The sequence below is a fragment of the Homo sapiens genome, chromosome 2 (assembly GCF_000001405.40).
Source record: "Homo sapiens chromosome 2, GRCh38.p14 Primary Assembly".
In the NCBI taxonomy this organism is placed as follows: domain Eukaryota; kingdom Metazoa; phylum Chordata; class Mammalia; order Primates; family Hominidae; genus Homo; species Homo sapiens.
The window spans coordinates 32,121,759-32,147,264 of NC_000002.12; the positions used below are offsets into that span (position 1 = coordinate 32,121,759).

General features: G+C 39.5%; 1 protein-coding gene across 5 annotated transcripts in view; it reads left to right on the plus strand.

Moving 5' to 3' along the window:
• The window catches only part of SPAST (spastin), a 94,082-nt gene that overhangs the window by 58,203 nt on the left and 10,373 nt on the right, over positions 1 to 25,506 (plus strand). For 4 of the 5 annotated variants that reach the window (NM_014946.4, NM_199436.2, NM_001363823.2 and 1 more), the window contains 9 exons: positions 5,190 to 5,264; positions 6,650 to 6,721; positions 14,805 to 14,880; positions 15,119 to 15,210; positions 15,351 to 15,430; positions 20,146 to 20,188; positions 21,578 to 21,657; positions 23,179 to 23,249; positions 25,460 to 25,500. In NM_014946.4, coding sequence (NP_055761.2) covers positions 5,190 to 5,264; positions 6,650 to 6,721; positions 14,805 to 14,880; positions 15,119 to 15,210; positions 15,351 to 15,430; positions 20,146 to 20,188; positions 21,578 to 21,657; positions 23,179 to 23,249; positions 25,460 to 25,500 — 630 coding nt within the window. The remainder of the gene's footprint in view (positions 1 to 5,189; positions 5,265 to 6,649; positions 6,722 to 14,804; positions 14,881 to 15,118; positions 15,211 to 15,350; positions 15,431 to 20,145; positions 20,189 to 21,577; positions 21,658 to 23,178; positions 23,250 to 25,459; positions 25,501 to 25,506) is intronic. The other variant, NM_001377959.1, reaches the window with a different exon arrangement.

A 25,506-nucleotide genomic window follows, 5' to 3' on the forward strand; every position in this document is an offset into this window, starting at 1 on the left:
GTTTCAAACTCCTGACCTCAGGTGATCCACCTGCTTTGGCCTCCCAGAGTGCTGGGATTACAGGCATGAGCCACCGTGCCCAGCCCTATTCTGATTTCATAGATGCAGTGTCTTTTATGTCTCTGAGAGGTTTTGTCAAGTTTTCTTTTGTTTACTTTATTATCTGTTTCTTCAAGATTCCTCCTCTTTTCTTTTTGCCTTAAGCTTTTTCATATTGGAAGCTTCTCTCAAATGTCTGGTTATTCTGGTTGTCCACTTATATTACGTGGAACAATAAAAAAGTTGATTAGGACTCTGTGCTGTAAGTAAGTAAATTGTTGATAGTGAGAGCCCATTAATCACAGGATGATCAAGCAGCAAGCCTACTGTTTATTTGGGTTTCTCCAAATGGCTATAGCTGTCAGTCTTTTTTTTCTGGGGTTATTTGGCTTCTCTAGAAAAGAATTTTCTAGTCTCTTGTTTGGAGAATACAAGCTTGACTATTGGTGTTCCAGAAAATGGGTGGGAGGAGACGACTTTGTTTTCTGTTAGGTTGAGCCATGTGAAATTACTAGGTTTTGTTTTGTTTTCTGTTTTGTTTTGAGACAGAGTCTCACTCTGTTGCCCAGGCTGGAGTGCCTTAGCATGATCTTGGCTCACTGCAACCTCTGCCTCCCAGGTTCAAGCAATTCTCATGCCTCAGCCTCCCAAGTAGCTGGGATTATAGGCATGCACCACCACGCCTGGCTAATTTTTGTATTTTTAGTAGAGACGGGGTTTTGCCATGTTGACCAGTCTAGTCTCGAACTCCTGACCTCAGGTGATCCACCTGCCTTGGCCTCCCAAAGTGCTGGGATTACAGGTATGAGCCACCACACCTGGGCTGAAATTACTGTTTTTATAGGTCAAAAACAGTTGAGGGATAGGCATGGTGGCTCCCACCTATAATCCCAGCACTTTCAGAGGCCAAGGCAGGAAGATTGCTTGAGTCCAGGAGTTCGACACCAGCCTGGGCAATGTAGTGAAACCCCATCTATATTTAAAAAAAAAAAATAGATGAATATCTTTGTTTGCAGATAACATGATTGCATATGTAGAAAATCCCAAAGAACCAACAAAAAGAGCTCCTAGAACTAATAAGTGATTATGACAAGGTGTAGAATACAAAGTTAATATACAAAGTCAATTGCTTTTTTATCTACCAGCAGTGAACAACTGGAATTTGAAATTAAAACACAATACTGCTGGGTGCAGTGGCTCACACCTGTAATCCCAGCACTTTGGGAGGCCGAGGTGGGCAGATCACCTGATGTCAGGGGTTCAAGACCAGCCTGACCAATATGGTGAAACCCCATCTCTACTAAAAATACAAAAATTAGCTGGGCATGGTGGCGGGTGCCTGTAATCTCAGCTACTCAGGAGGCTGAGGCAGGAGAATCGCTTGAACCCAGGAGGCAGAGGTTGCAGTGAGCCAAGATCGCGCCATTGCACTCCAGCCTGGGGGACAGAGCAAGACTCCGTCTCAAAAAAAAAAACACAATACCTTTCATATTAACACTAATAAAATGAAATATGTGTAGTTCTAACAAAGTTTGTTGTAGAAGATCTATATGAGAAGAATTATAGCACTCATGAAAGAAATCAAAGATCTAAGTAAACTGAGAGATATTCCATGTAAATGGACAGGGAGACTAAATATTATTGAGATGTCAGTTCTTCCCAAGTTCATATATCGATTCAGTGCAGTCCCAGTCAAACCCCAGCCAGTTATTTTGTGGATACTGGCAAACTAAAGTTTATATGAAAAGGCAAAAGACCTAGAACAGCCAACACAGTATTGAAGAAGAAAAAAGTCAGAGGACTGAAACTACCCAATTTCAAGACTTACTGTAAAGCTACATTAATCAAGACAGCATGTCATTGGCAAAAGAATAGACAAATAAATCAGTAGAATTGGACAGAGAGCCTAGAAATCAACCCACACAGATAAAGTCAACTGATCTTTGGCAAAGGGACAAAGACAATTCAGTGGAGAAAAGATAGCCTTTTCAACAAATGGTATAGGACAACTGGACATCCACATGCAAAAAAGTTAATCTAGACACAGACCTGACAACTTTCACAAAAATAAATGGATCATAGACCTAAATGTAACATGCGAACTGAAACTTCTAGAGGATAACATAGGAGAAAATCTAGGATAACATGAGAAAAATTTTTGGTTTGGCAGTGACTTCTTAGGTACAATACCAAAACATGATCCTTGAAAAAAAAAATCAGTATGTTGAACTTTGTTTAAATTATAAACTTCTGCTCTGTGTAAGATGCTGTTAGGAGAATGAAAAGACATGCAGCAGAGTGGGAGACTTTACAAAATTCATTATCTGATGAAGGACCAGTATCCAAAATATACAAAGAACTTTTAAAACTCAACAATAAGAAAATATACAACCCAGTTAATAAATGGGCAAAATATCTGAACAGACACCTCACCAAGGAAGATAGATAGATGACAACAAGCATATGAATATATGCTCAACATCATGTCGTTAGGGAAATTGCGCATTAAAACAACAACAAGATACCCTGCCATCCCTATTAGAATGGCTGAAATCTAAAACACTGACAACACCAAATTCTGGCAGGGATGTGGAGCAGCAGAAACTTTAATTCATTGCTGATGGAAATCTAAAATGGTAGAACCATTTTGGAAGGTAGTTGGACAGTTTTTTACAGAACTAAAGACAGTTTGACAGTTTCTTACAAAACTCTTACCATATGGTCCAGCAGTCTTACTCCTTAGTATTTACCCAAATAAGTTTAAAATGTACATCCAATAAAAAAAACTGCACATGAATATTTCTAGCAGCATTATTCATAGTTGCCAAAACTTGGAAGCAGTCAAGGCATCCATAAGTAGGGGAATGGATAAACAGACTTTGGTATATCATGTAATGGAGTATTATTCAGCAATAAAAAGAAATGATCTATCAAGCCACAAAAATATATGGAGGAACCATAAATGCATATTGCTAAATGAAAGAAGCCAGTCTGAAGAGGCTACACTATAGGATTCTGACTATATGATGTTTTGGAAAAGGCAAAACTATGGAAACAGTAAATAGATCAGTGGTTGCCAAGGGAGACAGGGAGAGATGAATAGGTGGAGCACAGTGGATTTTTAAGGCAGTGAAACTGTTCTTTATGATAATCCAATGGTGGATACATGTCATTATACCTTTGTCAAAACCCACAGAATATAAAACATAAGAGTGAACCCTAATGTAAAATATGGACTTCAGTTAATAATAATATATGAATATTTTTTCATTAGTTCTAACAAGTGTACTACACTAATACAAGATATTCAGAGTAGGGGAAATTGGAAAGGAATGAGAGGTTATATGGGAACTCTGTACTTTCTGCTCAATTTTCTGTAAACCTAAAATCACTAAAAAAAAAGTTTATTTTTATTTTTATTTTTTTTTAATTTTTAATTTTTTGAGATGGAGTTTCACTCTTGTTGCCCAGGCTGGAATACAATGGCACGATCTCGGCTCACTGAAACCTCCGCCTCCAGGGTTCAAGCGATTCTCATGCCTCAACCTCCCGAGTAGCTGAGATTACAGGCATGTGCCACCACGCCCAGCTAATTTTGCAGTTTTAGTAGAGACAGGGTTTCTCCATGTTGGTCAGGCTGGTCTTGAACTCCTGATCTCAGGGGATCTGCCCGCCTCGGCCTCCCAAAGTGCTGTGATTATAGGCGTGAGCCACTGCGCCCAGCAGGTTTTTTTTTTTAAGTTGGATATTAGCCATTTCATATGATTCAACTTAAAAGTACATACACCTTCACTGTTATTAAAGTGTAGGTGAGATGTTTTCAGTCTGGAGCTCTACCCTTGATTCCTGCCATGCCTAGTGTCCCTGAATCTGGAGACTCTGACTTATTTCTTTAGAGAACGAAACTCCTGCCTTCTGCTTTGGTGGTGATTGGTACCTGCTTGACTGCCTTTGGTGGGGAGTTCCTCATACCAACTTTCAATCAGTTCCTGTGTTTGTTTGTTTGTTTGTTTTTGAGACGGAGTTTTGCTCTGTCGCCCGGGTTGGAGTGCAGTGGCGCAATCTTGGCTCAATACACGCTCCGCCTCCCGGGTTCACGCCATTTTCCTGCCTCAGCCTCCTGAGTAGCTGGGACGACAGGCACCCGCCACCACGCCCGGCTAATTTTTTTGTATTTTTAGTAGAGACGGGGTTTCATCGTGTTAGCCAGGATGGTCTCGATCTCCTGACCTCGTGATCCGCCCGCCTTGGCCTCCCAAAGTGCTGGGATTACAGGCGTGAGCCACTGTAAGCCACCGTGCCCGGCCAGTTCCTCTGTTTTTGACTGCCTGCCTTACTACTGCTTTCTGTGGTGCCTGATAACATCCAATTCCTGAACCTTCCTGGGATTTTTGTTCACGTCAGCGTGCTTCTTGCATTTAGGTATCCCTTCACAAGTAGGCATTTAGGTTTTAAGCTCTGCTAAGTGATTTACCACACTTTATCAGTTCTCCATTTTGTGGAATTCATTGTGTTAATCTCCTTTTCTATTTTTGTTTGGAAGATTCATATATTTTTTATTCATTTAGTATTTTTTGGTGGGATTTCTAAGTAGAGAAACATGCCTATGTTCAATATGTCTTGTTTAAGCAGTCTGCTTTCATTTTTACCACCGAGGAGTTGGTTTTATTTCTTTTTTTTTTTTTTTTTTTTTTTTTTTTTGAGACAGGGTCTCACTTTGTCAGCCAGGCTGGAGTACAGTGGCACAATCAAAGCTCACTGCACCCTTGGCCTCCCAAGCTCAAGTGATCCTCCCACCTCAGCCTCCTGAATAGCTGGGAGCTCAGGTGATCCAGCACACCCAGCTAATTTTTTTTTTTTTTAATTTTTTGTAGAAGCAGAGTTCCCCTATGTTGCCCAAGCTGGTCTTGAACTCTTGGGCTCATGTAATCCTCCTGTCTTTGCCCCCTAAAGTCTGGGATTACAGGTGTGAGCCACCACACCCAGCTGTTTTTAATTATTACATTAATTTATGATTATGTGTTTCCTTTAAAGCTATGGGCAGCTCTGTTTGGGAAGATGCTACTGAAAAAAGGATGCTTTTTAGATGGCAAAGAGTACTTAAAATGTCTCTAGAATCATAGTTGTAAACTAAAGTATATATTTTTTAGTTGTTCACAGGGCTTAGAGCTCCTGCCAGAGGGCTGTTACTCTTTGGTCCACCTGGGAATGGGAAGACAATGCTGGTAAGGGTTCTCTTCAAATTTGAGTTTTCTGTTGAGATATTTGGGATAATATGAAAAAAAGAAACTTTATCTTGTCCTTGAGTCTATTATTTACGACTTGCTTTTTGCTATTGTACACTTTTGTTTTTTTTGTTTGTTTGTTTTGTTTTGTTTTGAGTGATCTGGGCTCACCGCAACCTCCGCCTCCTGGGTTCAAGCGATTTTCATGCCTCAGCCTCCCAAGTAGCTGGGATTACAGGCACACGCCACCACACCTGTCTAGGTTTTTTATTTTTGGCAGAGACAGGATTTCGCCATGTTGGCCAGGCTGGTGTCGAACTCCTGACCTCAAGCAGTCCTCCTACCTGGGCCTCCTAAAGTGATGGGATTACAGGCATGAGCCACTGCACCTGGCTGATACACTTTTAAGTTTTTCAGCTACTTTTCAATGTAGAAGTAGATGGAAAACCATGTACGTTATCTTCAGTAGTGTGTTTTTGGTTGGTTAAATTTGACAGTATGATTGTCATTATTTTTTGTAAATTAAATTTTTACCTGGAAGAGCTTACCTTACTATATTGAGTATCTTTCTAACCCCTGATTTTTGCTTCTACTATCATAATAACTTTATTTAAGTAATCAGTATGTTATAGCTTTTTTTTTTTTTTAAGTATTCTTTTGCCAGAAGTTTTTATCAGGCTCTGGATACCTCTTTCCTCTGCATAGTCCTCCTGGATGGAAGAAACAAAGAGGGAAAGAGTAACTTTTCCTTAGATGTTTGTCTTTCTCAAAGCAGTTATCTTTGTATATCTAAGAAGAGAGGAGAATAACACTGTCTCTCTTTTTTTTTAAATCTCTCTCTACTCATTCTCTCTCAGGAGGAGAGTAGAAAGAAGCACAGCTCTTCCTATAACCTGTCCTTATTACTGAGAAAGGAACACATTGATTGCCATGTATTGGGGATTGTATTATACCTTACATTTTTATTTTTATTTTTTATTAATTTTTTTTTTTAGACAGTCTTACTCTATCACCCAAGCTGGAGTGCAGTGATGTGATCTCGGCTCACTACCATCTCTTCCTTCTGGGTTCAAGCAATTCTGCCACGTCAGCTTCCTGAGTAGCTGGGATTACAGGCATGCGCCACCACGCCTGACTAATTTTTGTATTTTTATTAGAGATGGGATTTCACCATGTTGGCCAGGCTGGTCTCAAACTCTTGGCCTCAAGTGATGCGCCTGCCTCGGCCTCCGAAAGTGCTGGGATTACAGGCATGAGCCACCACACCTGGCCTCATAGCTTACATTTTTAGAGAATCTTTTCTAGTACTTAAATCGGTAAATATGGTTATCTTTTAAATGTAATATATTGAACTAATTTAATATTTGCTCTTGTGATTTTTAAAGGCTAAAGCAGTAGCTGCAGAATCGAATGCAACCTTCTTTAATATAAGTGCTGCAAGTTTAACTTCAAAATACGTGAGTGCTCTGTTTCCAATATTGTCGTATTTTAAGTTACTGTCTAAATGTTACTGTGTTAACTGTAAATGGTAATATTTCATGAAAATATTTTTCTAGGAGCTTATCTATTGTATCTATTATTTACATATGATGAATATCTATCTTCAGAGTAGAAAGTTATGTACATTTGTGTTGTCAAATACTGTATTAGTTTACTGGGGCCATGTAATAAAATACCGTAAACTGGCTGGCTTAAACATCAGCAATTTATTGTCTCACAGTTGTGGAAGGTAGAAGTCTAAGATCAGTCAAAATGTTGGCAGGGTTGCTTCCTCCTGAGGGCTGTGAGGGAAAATGTATGTTGTGTGCCTCTCTCCTGGCTTCTGGTGGCTTGCTGGCAATCTTTTGTATTCCTTGGCTTGTAGATGCATCCCTCCTATCTCTGTCTTTATCTTTATGTGGCATTCTCCCTGTGTCTGTCACCATGTCCAAATTTCCCCTGTGGATTAGGACCCACCCTAATGATCTCAATTTAAGTTTGTCATCAGCAACAATTCTATGTCCAAATAATGTCACATTCATAGGTACTAGGGATAGGACTTCAACACGTTTTTGGAGAACACAGTTCAACCCATTAACAAATACTATCACTTTCCACTTAAGCTTCAAGTAAAGTGGATTTTATCTCAAGGAGCCACCAGATAGGAACACAGATCTGATGGCATAAACTGAGTATTTCTGGCCTTCTGATTCTGATCTAAAATATGACAGAAGATTTTCCCTGTTTTAATTTTTTTTTTTTTTTTATAATAGAGACACAGTCTCGCTATGTTGCCAGGCTACTTTCAAATTCCTGGGCTTAAGCAATCCTCCTGCCTCGGACTCTCAAAGTGCTGGAATTACAAGTGTGAGCCACCACACCTGGCCAGTAGATTTTCCCTGCTTTCTTTTGATTGTTTATAATTTTGTTTTCTTTTTCCATTCACCCTCTGCTGACCCTATAGTATTATTCAAAGAAGTGTTCAGTCTAGTTTTGGGGTAGGGCAAGCATAACTACAGTGCTTAAAGAGAGTAATTTGTCTGGTGTGCAGAACTAGTGTGTAAATATAACTGGTGCATTGCAAAACTGTGAAGTAGTTTCTGTCAAACCTTACACTGCTTTGTCTTTCTCCCTCTCTCCCTTTCTCTTGGTTGCCCCCTCCCCCTCCCAATGATACCTTAGTCTCTGCTTGCCTTTATCAAAACCTTTATGATTGGCCGGGCACAGTGGCCCATGCCTATAATCCTAGCATTTTGGGAGGCTGAGGCAGGAAGATCACCTGAGCCCAGAAGTTGGAGACCAGCCTAGGCAACATGGTGAAACCCCATCTCTTCCAAAAATAAAAAATAGAGCCAGGTGTGGTGGCATGCACCTGTAGTCCCAGCTACTCAGGAAGCTGAGGCGAGAGGATCTCTTGAGCCTGAGAGGTTGAGGCTGCAGTGAACTGTGATCATGCCACTGCACTCCAGCCTGAGTGACAGTGTGAGACCCTGTCTCAAAGAAACAAAACAAGGGGGGGCATGGTGGCTAACTCCTGTAATCCCAGTACTTTGGGAGACTGAGGCAGGAGGATTGCTTGAGGCCAGGAGTTCAATACCACCCTGGGCAACATAGTGAGACCCCCATCTCTACAAAAAATAAAAAATTTAGCTGGACATGCCAGCGAATACGTGGTCCCAGCAAATCAGGAGGCTGAGGTGGGAGGATCACTTGAGTCAAGGAGGTTGAGGTTGCAGTGAGCCACGATCATGCCAATGCATTCCAACCTGGGCGTCAGAGCAAGACCACGTCTCAAAAACAAAACAAAACAAACTTTTATGGTTGAAAGTGTTTTGGCAAACATACTTAAACTGAAATGTGAATCTCTGATGAAAGAACATGTTACCTGTAAAAGTTTGAAGTGTCAGCATTTGTTGCACCGAAATCCAGAGGTGAGGCCAGGTGTGGTGGCTCACGCCTGTAATCCCAGCACTTTGGGAAGCCAAGGCTGGCAGATCACCTGAGGTCAGGAGTTCAAAACCAGCCTGGCCAACATTGCAAAACCCCGTCTCGACTAAAAATACAAAAATTAGCCAGACTTGGTGGTGTGCGCCTGTAATCCCAGCTATTCGGGAGGCTGAGACACGAGAATTGCTCGAACCCAGGAGGCAGAGGTTGCAGTGAGCCGAGATGGCACCACTGCACTCCAGCCTGGGCAACTGAGTGAGACTCTGTCTCAAAAAAAAAAAAAAAAAAAAATCCAGAGGTGAATCCAGAGGTGATCACCACATGATATCCAGATAGCCTCTTTCCATGAGAGGCTCAAAGGATAATTTTACTGTCTACAGTTTTGCAGCGAGAGAAACTTGATTTTATCAGTACACCAAGAGCAGATCTATGTCTTCGGAACAGACATGAGATCAGAATTGTCTAGCTGCTATGAACAGCATGTTCTCTCCCTGTACCTATAGACATGTATGGGAAACTTATTTGTAAGGTTGTATAATGAGCAGTGAGTTAAAGCAAACTTGACATGTTGACCATAGTTGTTATGGCATTGGACTAAAGTAGCCTCCATCACTATGATAGAGATAGCCTTGGTGTTGGACCCATAGTTTTTGAAGTCTGTTTGCTAAGACTCCCTCTTCCTTAGGCAGTTCTTCAAATATTATTATGCTTTTTCCTGTCATGGGATTCCTCTTCATGGAGTTTCCTTTCTCAGGAACACTATCTTCTCCTGGTTAATTTGTACTTATTCTTCAGATACCAGTTGAAATGTTACAACCTTCCCTGACCCTCCAAACTATTCCCCGTTATTATTCTCCTAGCACCACTTGCACCTCATTTTCATACTCACTGGAGTTGCAATTCATATTCATTGATAGGATTATTTTAATTGTATCTGATATCACTGTCACCTCCACTAGAAGATGGTCTCCATGCGGGCAGAGACTATCACCATGTGTTCTTCACTTCAATTTTCAGTAGTTGGCTGTGAGTAGGTATTGAATAAATATTTGTGGAGTAATCATAATGAGGTATAGATATTATTCTCATAGCTCTATTTTATTAATTAGGGAATTACAGAATTCAGTGATCTGCTCAGGATCTCATAACCAGGAAGTGGGAAACTAGGATTTGAGCTCCAGTGAGTGTGGCCTTTCATTAAAAATATTACAGCAACCATTCTCTTTTTTTTTTTTTTTTTTTTTGAGATGGAGTCTTGCTCTGGAGTGCAGTGGCGTGATCTCGGCTCACTGCAGCCTCTGCCTCCCGGGTTCAAGTGATCCCCCTGCCTTAGCCTGCTGAGTAGCTGGGACTACAGGCACCCGCCACGACACTTGGCTAATTTTTGTATTTTAGTAGAGACGGGGTTTCACCATGTTGGCCAGGATGGTCTCGATCTCCTGACCTTGTGATCCGCCCGCATCTACCTCCCAAAGTGCTGGATTATAGGCGTAAGCCACCACACCCGGCCTACAGCAACCATTCTCTTTTATCCATACTTTTTTCAAGAGTACTGTTTCATCTTCATGTTTTCAGAAACAACATAGCATTCATGATCTTAACCCCCAATTCTGATACTGCCTGAATATCTTGAAGTAAGTTTACTTTTAAGAAAGTTGAGGCTAGGTGTGGTGGCTCATGCCTGTAATCCCAGCACTTTGGGAGGCCAAGGCAGGTGGATCACTTGAGCTCAGGAGTTCAAGACCAGGCTGGGCAACATGGCGAAACCCTGTCTCTACCAGAAATACAAAAAATTAGTCGGGCGTGGTGGCGTGTGCCTGTGGTCCCAGCCACTTGGGAGACTGAAGTGGGAGGATTTCTTGAGCTTGGGAGGTGGAGTTTGCTGTGAGCCGAGAGATCATGCCACTGTACTCCAGCCTGGGTGGCAGAGTGAGATCCCATCTCAAAAAAAGAAAAGAAAAAGAAAATTGAAATGTCTAGTCTATCATTTTGTCAGTTCTATCTAATACAATTTTTTCCTTATGTCTAACTGAAATCTGCTTTTTCTAATTTTTACATACTTGATTTAACAAAACTCAATCTTTTTTTTTTTTTATGAGACAGCCTTTCAAATATATAGGAACTTAATGTTATATCTGCTTCCCTCCAGTCCCCAGAATAGTTACTATTTTAGTTGTCTTTCTATGGTCTCATGCCAGTTTGTCAGTATGCCTAGATAAGAACTGAATATTTTACCTCAGATGTGACCTGACTTTGAAGACTTAAAAAGGAAGCATTGTGCCAGGCGCAGTGGCTCACACCTGTGATCCCAGCACTTTGGGAGGCCGAGGTGGGCAGGTCAGGAGTTTGAGACCAGCCTGATTAACATGGAGAAACCCCATGTTTCTCTACTAAATACAAATCTCTACTAAATACTAAATACTAAATCTCTACTAAAAATACAAAAGATGAGCTGGGCATTGTGGCACATGCCTGTAATCCCAGCTACTCGGGAGGCTGAGGCAGGAGAATCACTTGAGCCCAGGAGGCGGAGGTTGCGGTGAGCCGAGATTGCGCCATTCCACTCCAGCCTGGGCAACAAAAGTGAAACTCCATCTCAAAAAAAAAAAGCAGCAGCATTGTGTAATATTATGTAGATGTTGTGTCTCATGATCTATCCTGAGAAAGCTTTTGGGAGGAACTGCATCATAGTCATGGACAACATTTGTGTTATTAAAATATCTAGATTATTTTCCACAAAAAATCAGTTACATATGTATCTTAACATGTTGTATTATTGTTTAACCTTGTTTATTGAATAACTAACATGTAGAAAAGTATTTATAGCATAAGTATACAGCTGTATACAGCTCAGTGGATTACCACAAAGCGAATATACTTTCATAATCACCACCCAGGTCAAGAAATAAATTGTTACCTGTGGCCCTAAAATCCCTCCAGGCACTCCACCATCTTTATCCACTCACTCCTCTCCCTCAAAACCACTAGACTACTAACATCATAGACAAAGCTAGCATGCCTTTGAACTTTATATAAATCTAATGATGTAGGATTTTGTGTGTATGTGTATTTGGCTTCTTTCATCAGCATTGTATTTGTGAGATTTATCCAGATTGTTGCAAGTAGTTGTAGTTGTGCTTTTTTACACAGATTTAATTTTTATATTTTTCTTATATGTTCGAACAGTTAACCTGCTTATCTATTATTAAAAAAAAAAAAACGAACATTCACATAGTTCTTACCAGTTTACAGTGTTTTTTCCACACCGTCTTCAAAATGTAAAGTTTGGTCTTCAATACATCAGTATGCTGCTAGATTTAAATACTAGGGAAAAAAAAATCAGAGAAGTTAATAATATTAACTGTCACCTCCACTAGAAGATGGTCTCCATGTGGACAGTAATATTTCTCTTGTATTATCTGTGCTAAGTAAAATCTTCTGTAAGTTTCTTTAAATATTTTAATAAATCATAGTACTTAAAATGTTCTCAATATTCTAAAGTAGTTAAAAGTAACTATAAAATAGTACCTGTTTTTCTGATCACATTTTACTTCCTATGTGAAATTTTACAAGTCGTTACTCTATTTATTTATTGATTTATTTTTTAAGACAGGGTCTGTTCTGTCGCCCAGGCTGGAGTACAGTGGCGTGATCATGGCTCACTGCAGCCTCAGCCTCCTGGGCTCAAGTGATCCTCCCACCTTAGCATCCCAAGTAGCTGGGACTATAGGCACATGCCACCATGCCCAGCTAATTTTAAAAAATTCTGGGGGGCCGAATGCGGTGGCTCACACCTGTAATCCCAGCACTTTGGGAGGCCGAGGCAGGCGAATCACAAGGTCAGGAGTTCGAGACCAGCCTGGCTAACATGGTGAAACCCTGTCTCTACTAAAAATACAAAAAATTAGCGGGGTGTGGTGGCAGGCGCCTGTAATCCCACTTACTCAGGAGGCTGAGGCAGGAGAGTTGCTTGAACCTGGGAGGCAGAGATTGCAGTGAGCCGAGACTCCATCTCAAAAAAAAAAAATTTTTTTTTGTAGTGACAAGGTGTCACTGTGTTGCCAGGGCTGGTCTCAAACTTCTGGGCTCAAGTGATCCTCCCATTTCGGCCTCCCAAAGTGCTAGGATCACAGGCATGAGTCACTGTGCCTGGTCTTCAAGTTGTTATTAAAGCATGTTTACCCACATTATGCACATGGTATAATGGAAAGTATTGTTGTGGAAGTTAGGAGATAGGGATTCTAGCCTAGCTTTTTATTTTTTTGGGACAAGGTCTCACTTTTTCGCCCCAGGCCGAAGTGCAGTTGTGCGATCTCGGCTCACTGCAACCTCCAACTCTCAGGTTCAAGCAATTCTCCCACGTCAGCCTCCCGAGTAGCTGGGATTACAGGCATGCGCCACCACGCCCGGCTAATTTTTGTAGTTTTAGTAGACACAGGGTTTCACCATGTTGGCCAGGCTGGTCTTGAACTCCCGACCTCAGGTGATCCACCCACCTTGGCCTCCCAAAGTGCTGGGATTACAGGCATGAGCCACCGCACCCGGCCTCTAGCGTAACTTTTACATCCTGAACTGACCTTAAGAAAGTATAACTTTAGGCCTGTTTCATCTGTAAAATGTTAATGTCATAGGAGATGATCTTTTGAGATTTCTTTCAGCTCTGATAATTTTGTGTGTGTGTGTGTGTGTGTGTGTGTGTGAGATGGAGTCTTGCTCTGTCGCCCGGGCTGGAGTGCAGTGGTACCATCTCGGCTCACTGCAAGCTCCACCTCCTGGGTTCACGCCATTCTCCTGCCTCAGCCTCCCGAGTAGCTGGGACTACAGGCGCCTGCCACCACGCCTGGCTAATTTTTTGTATTTTTAGTAGAGACGAGGTTTCACCGTGTTAGCCAGGATGGTCTCGATCTCCTGACCTCGTGATCCGCCCGCCTCAGCCTCCCAAAGTGCTGGGATTACAGGTCTGAGCCGCCGCGCCCGGCCTAGAATATTTGTTTCGATTATTCTAAATCTGGTGACATTTCTTTTGTTTTTAAGTTAAATCTTCAGTAAAAAGAATAAATGCCACCTAGAGGACAGAAAAATTTTTACAGTAGATTATCACAGACCTCATGACTCATTACTTTGGTGTATAAAATGGCCTTTGTATGGTGTCAGCACCTGGGAATGTCTCAAGGGGTGTTCATTGACCTTCTGGACTATCTGGAAATATTTTGATATTTATTGGCTGGGCGCGGTGGCTCATGCCTGTAATTCCAGCACCTCGGGAGGCCAAGTTAGGTGGATCACTTGAGGTCAGGAGTTTGAGATCAGCCTGGCCAACTAAGTTAGTTGACTATTTGTGAAATTTCCCTCTCCAAATAGGAAAGATAGGATTGGAAACATTATTCAGAAGGAAGAAGTTTTAAAGAAGGGCAGGCTTAAAGACTATCTAATGAATTTACCAATATGGTAAAACCCCATCTTTACTAAAAATACAAAAATTAGCCAGGCGTGGTGGTGGGCGCCTGTAATCCCAGCTACCTGGGATGTTGAGGGATGAGAATCACTTGAACCCAGGAGGCAAAAGTCACAGTGAGCCGAGATTGCACCACTGCACTCCAGACTGGGCTATAGAGCAAAACTCTGTCTCAAAAAAAAAAAGGAAAAAAAAAAAAGAAATTTTGATATTTATGTGAGAATGACTTTTCACGGTGTTCTTAATAGCGCAAGTTTTGTTTAGGAGAGCACATTCCAACTTACTTGCTTCTATAAATATACCGTGTAATCTAGGGCTTAAAGAATATGTACAATGTCTTTTTCTCTCCCCTAGTCTTCCCCTTTTCTCACTAGTTATATCCTTGACTGAAGAGCTATTTCATTCTCAAGTCTTAGGAATGCAGGGTGAAGCAAAACAGATGAATTTTTAAAGCACTTAACCAGGCTGTATGAAATCACAGTCTGTTGTCTAAAATTGTAAGGGACGGTTAGTAGTACTCTCCCCTTTCTCAAACCAAATCTTTGGTTGTTTTAAGGAAGGGAAATTAAATTCCTGTGTGCTAGATTTTCAACATAAAATTTAAAAAACTGGAATAATGTTGCATTTTATGTGTATAACAGTATAATGCTTTGTTTTAGGTGGGAGAAGGAGAGAAATTGGTGAGGGCTCTTTTTGCTGTGGCTCGAGAACTTCAACCTTCTATAATTTTTATAGGTAAGAACATATTTTCCAACTAAGTTATTGACTATTTGTGAAATTTCCCTCTCCAAATAGGAAAGATACGATTGGAAACATTATTCAGAAGGAAGAAGTTTTAAAGAAGGGCAAGCTTAAAGACTATCTAATGAATTTAGTAGGACCCACTATATTAATAAGTAGTAAACTAGATTAATCTCAGATGACTCACATAGCTTGGTCTTTAATTAAAGTCTTATACTTGTATTTCCTCTAGATGAAGTTGATAGCCTTTTGTGTGAAAGAAGAGAAGGGGAGCACGATGCTAGTAGACGCCTAAAAACTGAATTTCTAATAGAATTTGATGGTGTAAGTGTTGATTATGATATTTTTAATGTGGCAGCATTTTAGTATATTTTCCTATTAAATGGCCAAGGTTAAAAATACAAATATCTTTATATTTGTTATTACTTTTCTAAATGAATTGAAAAAAGATTTTTTGCTTGTAGGTACAGTCTGCTGGAGATGACAGAGTACTTGTAATGGGTGCAACTAATAGGCCACAAGAGCTTGATGAGGCTGTTCTCAGGTAGGGAGATTTATATGGAAATACATGCATTTATTACAGACAATATTTACTCATGTGTCCATCTTACATATTATTTCCTTACTCTCAGTTTTAAGACTAAATTCACTATTTTCTTCCAGTACTATCTCTAGCCTCTTGTTACCAACTACATAAGGATTTTGAGGTCAACAGCTTGATATCAGGAGAATTAGTCTAGTAAAGGTTTAGTTACGGTTTTAGGCAAATTGGTCAGTTCTTCTGGGTTGCATTAAATTATCTTTAAACTTGAAAATTGATTCTTACCGTCTTTTATTGGGCTTCATGAGAAAATAATCAAATCAGGGTTCATGGAAAATGTGTTTTCTGTTCTTGTGTGTTTGAGCAGTTTATTCCCTTCATACTGGAAGGACGGTTTGGGTCAGCATAAAATTCTTGGGCATCCTTTCCCAAGGAATTTACAATATTGCTCCATTGTTTCTAGATTGGCTGTAGTAGTGTAAAAGTCTGAATCCAAATTGATTTTTTCAAATTTGTAAAATAACTTGATTTTTTTCTCTCTTTACTGGATGGGTTACGTGGGTATATTGCACCCAGGTAGTGAGCATAGGGTGCAGTAGGTAGTTTTTCAACCCACACCTCACTGCTTTCTTCCCCCATGTAGTAGTCCGCAGTGTGTATTGTTCCCATGTTTATGTCCATGTGTACTCAATTTTTAGCTCCCCACTTATGAGAACATGAGCTATTTGGTTTACTGTTCCCACATTAATTGGCGTAGTATTAAGGCCTCCACCTCCATCCATGTTGCTGCAAAGGACATTATTTCATTCTTTTTTATGGCTGCGTAGTACATAGTATTCCATGGTGTGTACGTACCACATTTTCTTTATCCAGTCCACCATTGATGGACACTTAGATTGATTCTATGTCTGCTGTCATGAATAGTACAGCAATAAACATGAAATGCATGTCTTTTTGGTATAATGATCTATTTTCCTTTGGGTATATACCCAGTAATGGGATTTCAGGGTCAAAGGTAGATTTGTTTTATGTTTTTTGAGAAATCTTCAAACTGCTTTCTACAATGACTGAACTTTACATTCCTACCAGCAGTACATACGCTCCACAACCTCACCAACATCTGTTATTTTTTTACTTTTTCCCGCCAATCTGTAGACAATATGGGATTTTTTTTGCCATTTTATTAATAGCCATTCTGACTGGTGTGAGATATCTCATTGTGATTTTGATTTGCATTTTTCTGATGGTTAGTGATGATGAGCATTTTTTCATGTTTGTTGTCCCCTCGTATGTCTTTTGAGAAGTGTCTATTCATTTCCTTTTTACCCATTTTTTAATAGGGTTGTGTGTTTTTAGCTTGTTCAATTGTTTGAATTCCTTATAGATTCTGGATATCAGACCATTGTTAGATGCAGTTCTGTAGATTGTCTGTTTACTCTGTTGATGGTTCTTTTTGCTGTGCAGAAGCTCTTTAGTTTAATTAGGTCCCACTTGTCAATTTTTATTTTTGTTGCAATTGTGTTTGGGGACTTAGCCAAAATTTCTTTCTGAGGCTGATGTCAAGAAGTGTATTTCCTAGTTTTCTTCTAGCATTTTTATACTTTGAGATCTTACATTTAAATCTTTAATCCACCTTGAGTTAATTTTTGTATATGGTGAAAAGTAAGGGTCCAGTTTCATTTTTCTACATATGGCTAGCCAGTAATCCCCATGCCATTTATTGAATAGGGAGTCCTTTTCCTCATTGCTTGTTTTTGTCAGTCTTATCAAAGATCAGATGGTTATAGGTGTGTGGCTTTATTTCTCAATTTTCTGTCCTGTTCCTTTGGTTTGTGTGTCTGTTTTTATACCAGAATTATGCTGTTTGGGCTGCTGTGTAGTTCGGTTTAAAGTCAGGTAACGTGATACTTACAGCTTTGTTCTTTTTGCTTAGGATTGCTTTGTCTATTTGGACTCTTTTTTTGCTTCCATATGAATTTTAGAATATTTTTTTCTAATTTTGTGAAAAACAACATTGATAGTTTGATAGAAATACCATTGAATCTGTAAATTGCTTTGGGCAGTATAGTCATTTTACGACCAGATAAATCAGGCAAGAGAAGGAAACAAAAGGCATCCAAATAGGAAAAGAAGTCATCATACTCTCACTCTTCACTGGCAATATGATTCTATACTTTGAAAACCCTAAAAATTCCGTCAAAAGGCTACTAGAACTGATAAATGATTTTACCCCAAGATTCAGGATACAAAATCAGTGTACAAAAAATTAGTACCATTTCTATACGCTAATAATGTCCAGGCTAAGAGTCAAATCAAGAACACAGTCCCATTTACAATAGCCACAAAGAAAATGAAATAATGGCTGGGCACAGTGGCTCATGCCTGTAATCCCAGCACTTTGGGAGGCTGAGGCAGGTGGATCACCTGAGGTCAGGAGTTCGAGACCAGCCTGACCAACATGGTGAAACCCCGTCTCTACTAAAAATACAAAAAATTAGCCAGGCGTGGTGGTGGGCGCCTGTAATCCCATCTGCTCGGGAGGCTGAGGCAGGAGAATTGCTTGAACCCAGGAGGCATAGGTTGCAGTGAGCCGAGATCGTGCCACTGCACTGCAGCCTGGGTGTGAAAGAGCAAGAATCCGTTTCCAAAATTAAAAAAAAAAAAAGAAAAAAAAAAAGACAATGGAGTACCTAGGAATACGGCTGATGAAGGAGGTGAAAGAATCTGTATGAGGAGAAGTGTAAAGCACTGCTAAAATAAATCAGAGGTGACACAAATAAATGGAAAAACACTCCATGCTCATGGATTGGAAGAATCAATATCGTTAAAATGGGAAATTTATCTTAATTTTTTTCCCTAGTTCATTTTTCTGTTTTCTTTTGCACATAAATTATGTGTTATGTTGCGTCCTTTTGTTTTCCCTATCTGTAATTTTCTTCTTCATCCTTTTAAACTCTTAGGTCTTTTTGTTTTGTTCTGTTTTCCCAAGCCTGTTGCCTTTATTTCTTACTGGGTTAGTATCTAATCTCCTTTCTGCTATATCTTTTGTAACTCTTCTTTCCTTGGTGGTTTTTTATTCATTACTTTCCTGACATCTGTTATTCTACTTTTCATCTTCTGTTTTATTTCTTTGAGCATCTGTATGTTATTTCCATAAGCTCTTACATTTCACTGGGCTCTTGTTTCATAGAAAACAATTTTTTGGCAAGGACAGACCACTTGAGGCCAGGAGTTTGAGACCAGCCTGGCCAACATAGTACAACCCTGTCTCTGCTAAAAATACAAAAAATTAGCTGGGTGTGGTCACACACACCTGTAATCCCAGCTACTCAGGAGGCTGATAATCGCTTGAACCCAGGAGGCAGAGGTTGCAGTGAGCCAAGACGGCGGCACTGTACTCTAGCCTGGGGGACAGAGCAAGGCTCTGTCTCAAAAAAAAAAAGAAAAAATTTTTTGGTCAGGCGTCATGGTGGGTCACACCTGTAATCCCAGCACTTTGGGAGGCCAGATCACTTGAGGCCGGGAATTCCAGACCAGCCTCGCCAACGTGGCAAAACCCCATATCTATAAAAAAAACTTAAGGATAAAAAAAATTAAATTTTTAAAAAATTAAATTATTTTATTTCGTGGAAAGATACTTGGTCATAATTTTAGTTTGCTCTATGGCAAAATCTTCTCATGCATGTTCTTCATTTTATCTAGTTTATGTTTATTGTGTTTTGTTTGCTCTTTTTTGGGGGCAGGTTTTGTTGTTGTTGTTTTTTTTTTTTTTTTTTTAAATGAGCCCTGTCCTGGTTTTTCCTTTTTTGCTTATTATTTTTCTTTGAATAAAAGGAGTTTTCTTGGAAAACCTAGTTTTGGAAGGATATTGTAGGGGAAGGGATAGGTATCTTGAGTAGTCCATGTATACACTAAACTAGCATGCAGCCTCCCTCACTTACAGTGAAGCCCTACCTAATAATGAAGTATATGTGTATGTAAATAAGAGATAGGGTTGATTTATTCTTCTACTAAAAAATATTGGTCACTGCAAGACATTGTCTTCCCGCCAGACTGTTAGATGCCTTCTTATAAAGATAATTCGTCTTAGAGTTTCTTTGTTCATTCTCACCTTCCTTGCCATTCCTATGCTATCAATTAGGGTTTATATGGTCTGCAGAGCCAGGCTTCATATGCTTGTTTAAATGTGGAGGGACTGGCCTTATTACCCTTTAGGGTGTGCTATCTCTTTTTGGGAGGAAAACTGTACTCTGACAGTCATGTCCATGATCTTTAGCGGCAGATCCTTTGTGTGTCTTCCTTTGTCAGTGTAATTTTCACTGCCCTAGGCAGTTCACCTTTATGTATTTTAGTTCCATAAATGTTACCTAGTTTGTTGATGAAGTGTATGTTTCTGTTTCTATTATCCTTGCTGATTTTAGTTTTTTTCAGATTCAAGAAGACAGATCTACTTATATCAGATATTTTGTTTGTTTTAAAGCATTACTGCTATTAAAAACATATACATACATAAATGATTAATTCTAACAATACCGAATTAAGGATTTTAAACATTAACTAGAGTTTTAAAAGAGTAACAAAAATATTTTTACATTGATAACTACCAAAATGCATTCCAGTGCCTTGAATATTATATTTTAAAAGCTTTTCCTGTCATTTGCTGTTTCAGCTTTAAATTCAAAATTATATTTCTAAAAGTGCTGGATTTTTTTTTTTAGGCGTTTCATCAAACGGGTATATGTGTCTTTACCAAATGAGGAGGTATGTATCTGTGTTTGAATTTTTTTTGTTTTAGAGCAGAAACAAGAACTACCATCTTGACAATATTAAGTCTTCCAATCCATGGTACAGCTACTTTGGAAAACAGTTTAGTGGTTTCTTAAAAAGATGTACATAAGCTTACTGTCAGAGCCAGCAATTTCACTCCTAAGAATTTACCCCAGAGAAACAAAAATGTATGTCCACACAAAGACTTGTACAAGAATTTTTATAGCAGCAATATTAATAATAGCCAGAACTACAAATGATCTAAAATGTTTATTTTGGTGAATAAACAAATGTGGTATATTCATTTAATGGATACTGTTATCCATTATACATGCTGCATACTCACTTCATATATTAAGTTTTATGAATGAAACTCCAAAACATTATAAGTGAAAGAAGCAAGATGATATATGTCGCATATCATAGGATTCTGTTTATATGCAGAAAACGCAAATTTATTTTTTATTTATTTATTTTTTTGAGATGGAGTCTTGCTCTGTCGCTCAGGCTGGAGTGCAGTGGCGTGATCTCGGCTCACTGCAACCTTCACCTCCTGGGTTCAAGTGATTCTCCTGCCTCAGCCTCCTGAGTAGCTGGGACTGCAGGCATGTGCCACCAGGCCTGGCTAATTTTTTGTGTTTTTAGTAGAGACGGGTTTCACTGTGTTAGCCAGGATGGTGTGATCCGCCCTCCTCAGCCTCCCAAAGTGCTGGGATTACAGGCATGAGTCACCGTGCCCGGCCAGAAATCGAAAATTTCTAGAAACGTAAAGCAGATCAGTGGGTTGTCAGGGTGAGAGTTGGGAATGAGGATTAACTGCAAACAGGTATGAGTGAACTAAAAAGTGTTCTAAAACTGGATTGTGGTGATGATTGCACATCTATAAATGTATTAAAACTCATTGAATTATATACTTACAATGGGTGAAATTCATAGTAGATGAATTCATACCTCTATAAAACTGGTTTTTTGCAGCAAAATATTTATTGCTATGTTTTTATTCAAGTGTGGTGAATTATTGCTATGTTTTTATCCAGGTGTGGTGTCTCACGCCTATAATCCCAACACTTTGGGAGGCTGAGGTGGGAGGATCGCTTGAGCCAGGAATTCAAGACCAGCCTGGGCAACATAGGGAGACCCTGTCTCTACAAAAACTTTTTTAGAAATTAACCAGGCATGGTGGCACGTGCCTTTGGTCCCAGTTACTCGGGAGGCTGAGATGGGAGGATTGCTTGAACCCAGGATATCGAGGCTATAGTGAGCTATGATTGTGCCCTGCACTCCAGCCTGGGTAACAGCACAAGACCCTGTCTCAATATAAAAAAAGAAAAGAATCATTAATTCTGAAATTAGACTGAATGATCATTTTTTAATATTTTTCAGACAAGACTACTTTTGCTTAAAAATCTGTTATGTAAACAAGGAAGTCCATTGACCCAAAAAGAACTAGCACAACTTGCTAGGTGAGTAATTTGGATTTGGTTTATCTTACAGCTTTTATTTATTTTTTGTAAATAATTCTTTTTTTAGTTATTTAAAGTAATCTTAAGTATGAAATGAGTAATTCATTGATCAGAAGACTTTCTCTCATCCTCTACCTCCTTTGCCTTTTTCTTACCTCTTGTTCTTATATATATATGTGGAATCTAAATTTCACTGGCTATGTCCTTTGCAAGACGTGATCTAATGATGATAGTATATTCTTTTTATAAATTTATTAAAACCTGTAAGTGGTATTAAAGTAATTTAAACATTTACACCTTAGGCAACATGGTAAAACCCCATCTCTACAAAAAATAAAATGAGTCAGGAATGGTGGCACATACCTGTAGTCCCAGCTACTTGGGAGGTTGATGTGGGAGGATCGCTTCAGCCCGGGAGGTGGAGGTTGAGCAACAGAGTGAGACCCTGTCTCAAAAAAAATTTTAAACATTTCATATTGCACACTAACACAGATATTTTTATATAAACTTGTTCTTGGCATATGCTGAATACTTTTCAGCTCTTTTAATAATTTTAATTATTTGATAATTTTAATAATTTTAATTTCAGCTATTTGAATAATCTTAAACTTTATGAACAGTGTGAAGTAGAAACTGAGTATAGGAGATGCGCTCATGAATTTTATTCCCTGAAAAATGTCATAAAGTAATATAAAGTATTCAATGAGTATGTGAGTATTGAATAATTTTAACAAGAACTCTGAGTTCCCAGATACCTATGACAAAAGAACAAATTACTTGGAAGTCTCTTCTACTCCAGACCTTTCTGTCTATCCCCTTATTTAAAAAAATGTACATTGATTGTCCCTTATCCCATCAAGAGAGTGTTCTTTGCCAAGATAAACGCTAATTAGAGAAGTAATTGTGTTTATGTGTCAGTTGGCCACCAGTAGTTTGTAGATGTTACCTTTCCAGGTGACATGTTTACAATTTAATGAAGCCTCTGGAGATAGTATGCCTTAATCTAAAGGAATGGTTCTAATGATTAAAATTTGAGGCATTACTACATTTGTTTTCAGCAAATGGGCCTTTCTATTCCCTTAAAATCAAACCCTCATAACTATGGGTTTGCTGACAAAGGGAAACTAGTTTTTACTCTTATTATATGGAGATTTTAAATCTGCAGAGATGAAAATAATTTGCTGTTTCAGCTGGGTGCGGTGGCTCATGCCTGTAATCTCACTACTTTGGGAGGCTGTGGCGGGTGGATCACCTGAGGTCAGGAGTTCGAGACCAGCCTGACCAACATGGCGAAACGCCATCTATACTAAATACAAAAAAAAAATTAGCCAGGTGCGGTGGCGCATGCCTATAATCCCAGCTACCTGAGAGGCTGAGGTAGGAGAATCGCTCCAGGAGGTGGAGATCACAGTGAGCTGAGATCATGCCATTGCACTCCAGCCTGGGCAACAAGAGCAAAACTCCATCTCAAAAAAAAGCGGGAGGGGAAATAATTTGCTGTTTCTTCCTTCCCTTCCTCAGAATGACTGATGGATACTCAGGAAGTGACCTAACAGCTTTGGCAAAAGATGCAGCACTGGGTCCTATCCGAGGTAGGTATACAAGAGCTTAAAACATTTAGAACTATTTATTATACCACCTTAGAAGTTTAAGAAGTCCAAAAAAATCTACCAAGAGATTTTTTTTTTCTTTTGGAGACAGGGTCTCACTCTGTTGCCCAGGCTGTAGTGCAGTGGCACAATCATAGTTCACTGCAGCCTCGAACCCCCCAGGCTCAGGTGATTCTCCCACCCAGCCTTCCCAGTAGCTGGGACTACAGGCATGCACCATCATGCCCAGATAATTATTTTATTTTATTTCTTGTAGAGACAGGGTTTCACCATGTTGCCCAAGCTGGTCTTGAACTCCCGGGCTCAAGTGAGCAGCCTGCCTTGGCCTCCCAAAGTGCTGGGATTACAGGCATGAGCCACCATGCCCAGCCTTAAAACCATTCTTAGCTCACAGATCATACAAAAACAGTCTATGAGCCAGTAGACTGTGACCCCTGTTCTAGGCAAGAGGTTTCATTTCTTGATAGTAAGTAAGCAGCAGAAAACTCAAAAAGAAAACTTTAAACAAAAAAGAATAATGTAAGGAAAATGTTCTTATCTGTTTTCTGGCTCTTTTCAGTATTCTGACATCATTTGAAATTAATGTGTCTAAAGGAAATTCTATAAGAGAAGTTTTCACTTTTTTAATTATATCTTTTGAGGGATTGCAGCAAAATATTTATTGCTATGTTTTTATTCAGGTTACTTGGTTGATTCTGAAATACCACGACCAATTCTTTTTAGGTTAGGTTAGGATAAACTCACACAGATATTTTCAGCTACATTTCCACAGCCAGCATCGGTAGTGGATGGTTGATGCTCTCAGGTATGCACTCAGATTATTAGCTATGATGATAAAGTAATCATAATAGCTCCATCCCTTTCTCTCATTCAAGAAAGTACAATTGAATGTAGTTGTACGAGAAAGATGTTATCATAGTGTCTACTGTAATTTGCATTAAAAGCCTACATTATACAAACCTTTTTGTTTTACTAGTTAAAAATTACCAGTAACACCTCCCGTAGTGAAATAGGGTGCTGATTAAGAACTGCTACTTTGCAAAATAAAAAATGTAATCTTGAGAGTATATTTTGAAACTCTGGATGAACAAATTTTCTTGCTGCTGGAGCTTAAATCTTGTTCAGTTAGTGGATTTAGAAACAGTAGCTAATGCATAAATGAGTTGTATTTTCTTAGAACGTTTTGGCTATTCTAAGGTAGACAAAATTTGGGTTTAAAAAAAGATTCGCATCCATTAAAGTACAGAAAATGGCCGGGTGCAGTGGCTCACACCTATAATCCCAGCACTTTGGGAGGCCAAGGTGGGAGGATCGTGTGGGCCTAATAGTTTGAGACTAGACTGGGCAACATAGGGAGATCCTGTCTCTACAAAAAAATATAATAAATTAACCAGGCCCGTTGGCATGAGCCTGTAATCCCAGCTACTCGGGAGTCTGAAGTAGGAGGATCACTTGAGCCTGGAAGGTGCAGGCAGCAGTGAGCCATGGTCATGCCACTCACTGCACTCCAGCCTGGGTGGGTGACATAGTGAGGTGCTGTCTTAAAAAGTAAATAAATAGGCCAGGCACGGTGGCTCACGCCTGTAATCCCAGCACTTTGGGAGGCCAAGATGGGTGGATCATGAGGTCAGGAGTTCGAGACCAGCTTGGCCAATATGGTGAAACCGCATCTCTACTGAAAATACAAAAATTAGCCAGGCGTGGTTGTGCGCACCTGTAATCCCAGCTACTCAGGAGGCTGAGGCAGGAGTATCGCTTGAACCTGGGAGGTGAGGTTGCAGTAAGCCGAGCACTGCAGCCTGGGCAACAGAGCAAGACTCTGTCTCAAAAAAAAAAAAAAAAAAAAAAAAAAAAAGTAAATACATAAAGTGCAGAGTAAAAACAAAAAAAGACTAATGCATTTTGTAAAGAACAAGTTGCATTCTTTTAAGTTCCCTTTCAAATTTGTGAACTATTGTTTTTGGGCAGTATGCAAGAAATTGAACACTTTCCAGTTATTCCAAAGAAGGAATATTCTCTTCTCAGCATTTATAAATTGTATTTGCTCTCAAAGTTAACATGTGTCTCTTTTTTTTAATATAATGATTTGTACTGAATAGATACATGTAGATCATTGTACTTGGTTTTGCCCTTCAACAATTTCAACTGCAAAATGTATGTATTTTTAAGTGCCTGACTTTTATGTTTTACAGAACTAAAACCAGAACAGGTGAAGAATATGTCTGCCAGTGAGGTATAG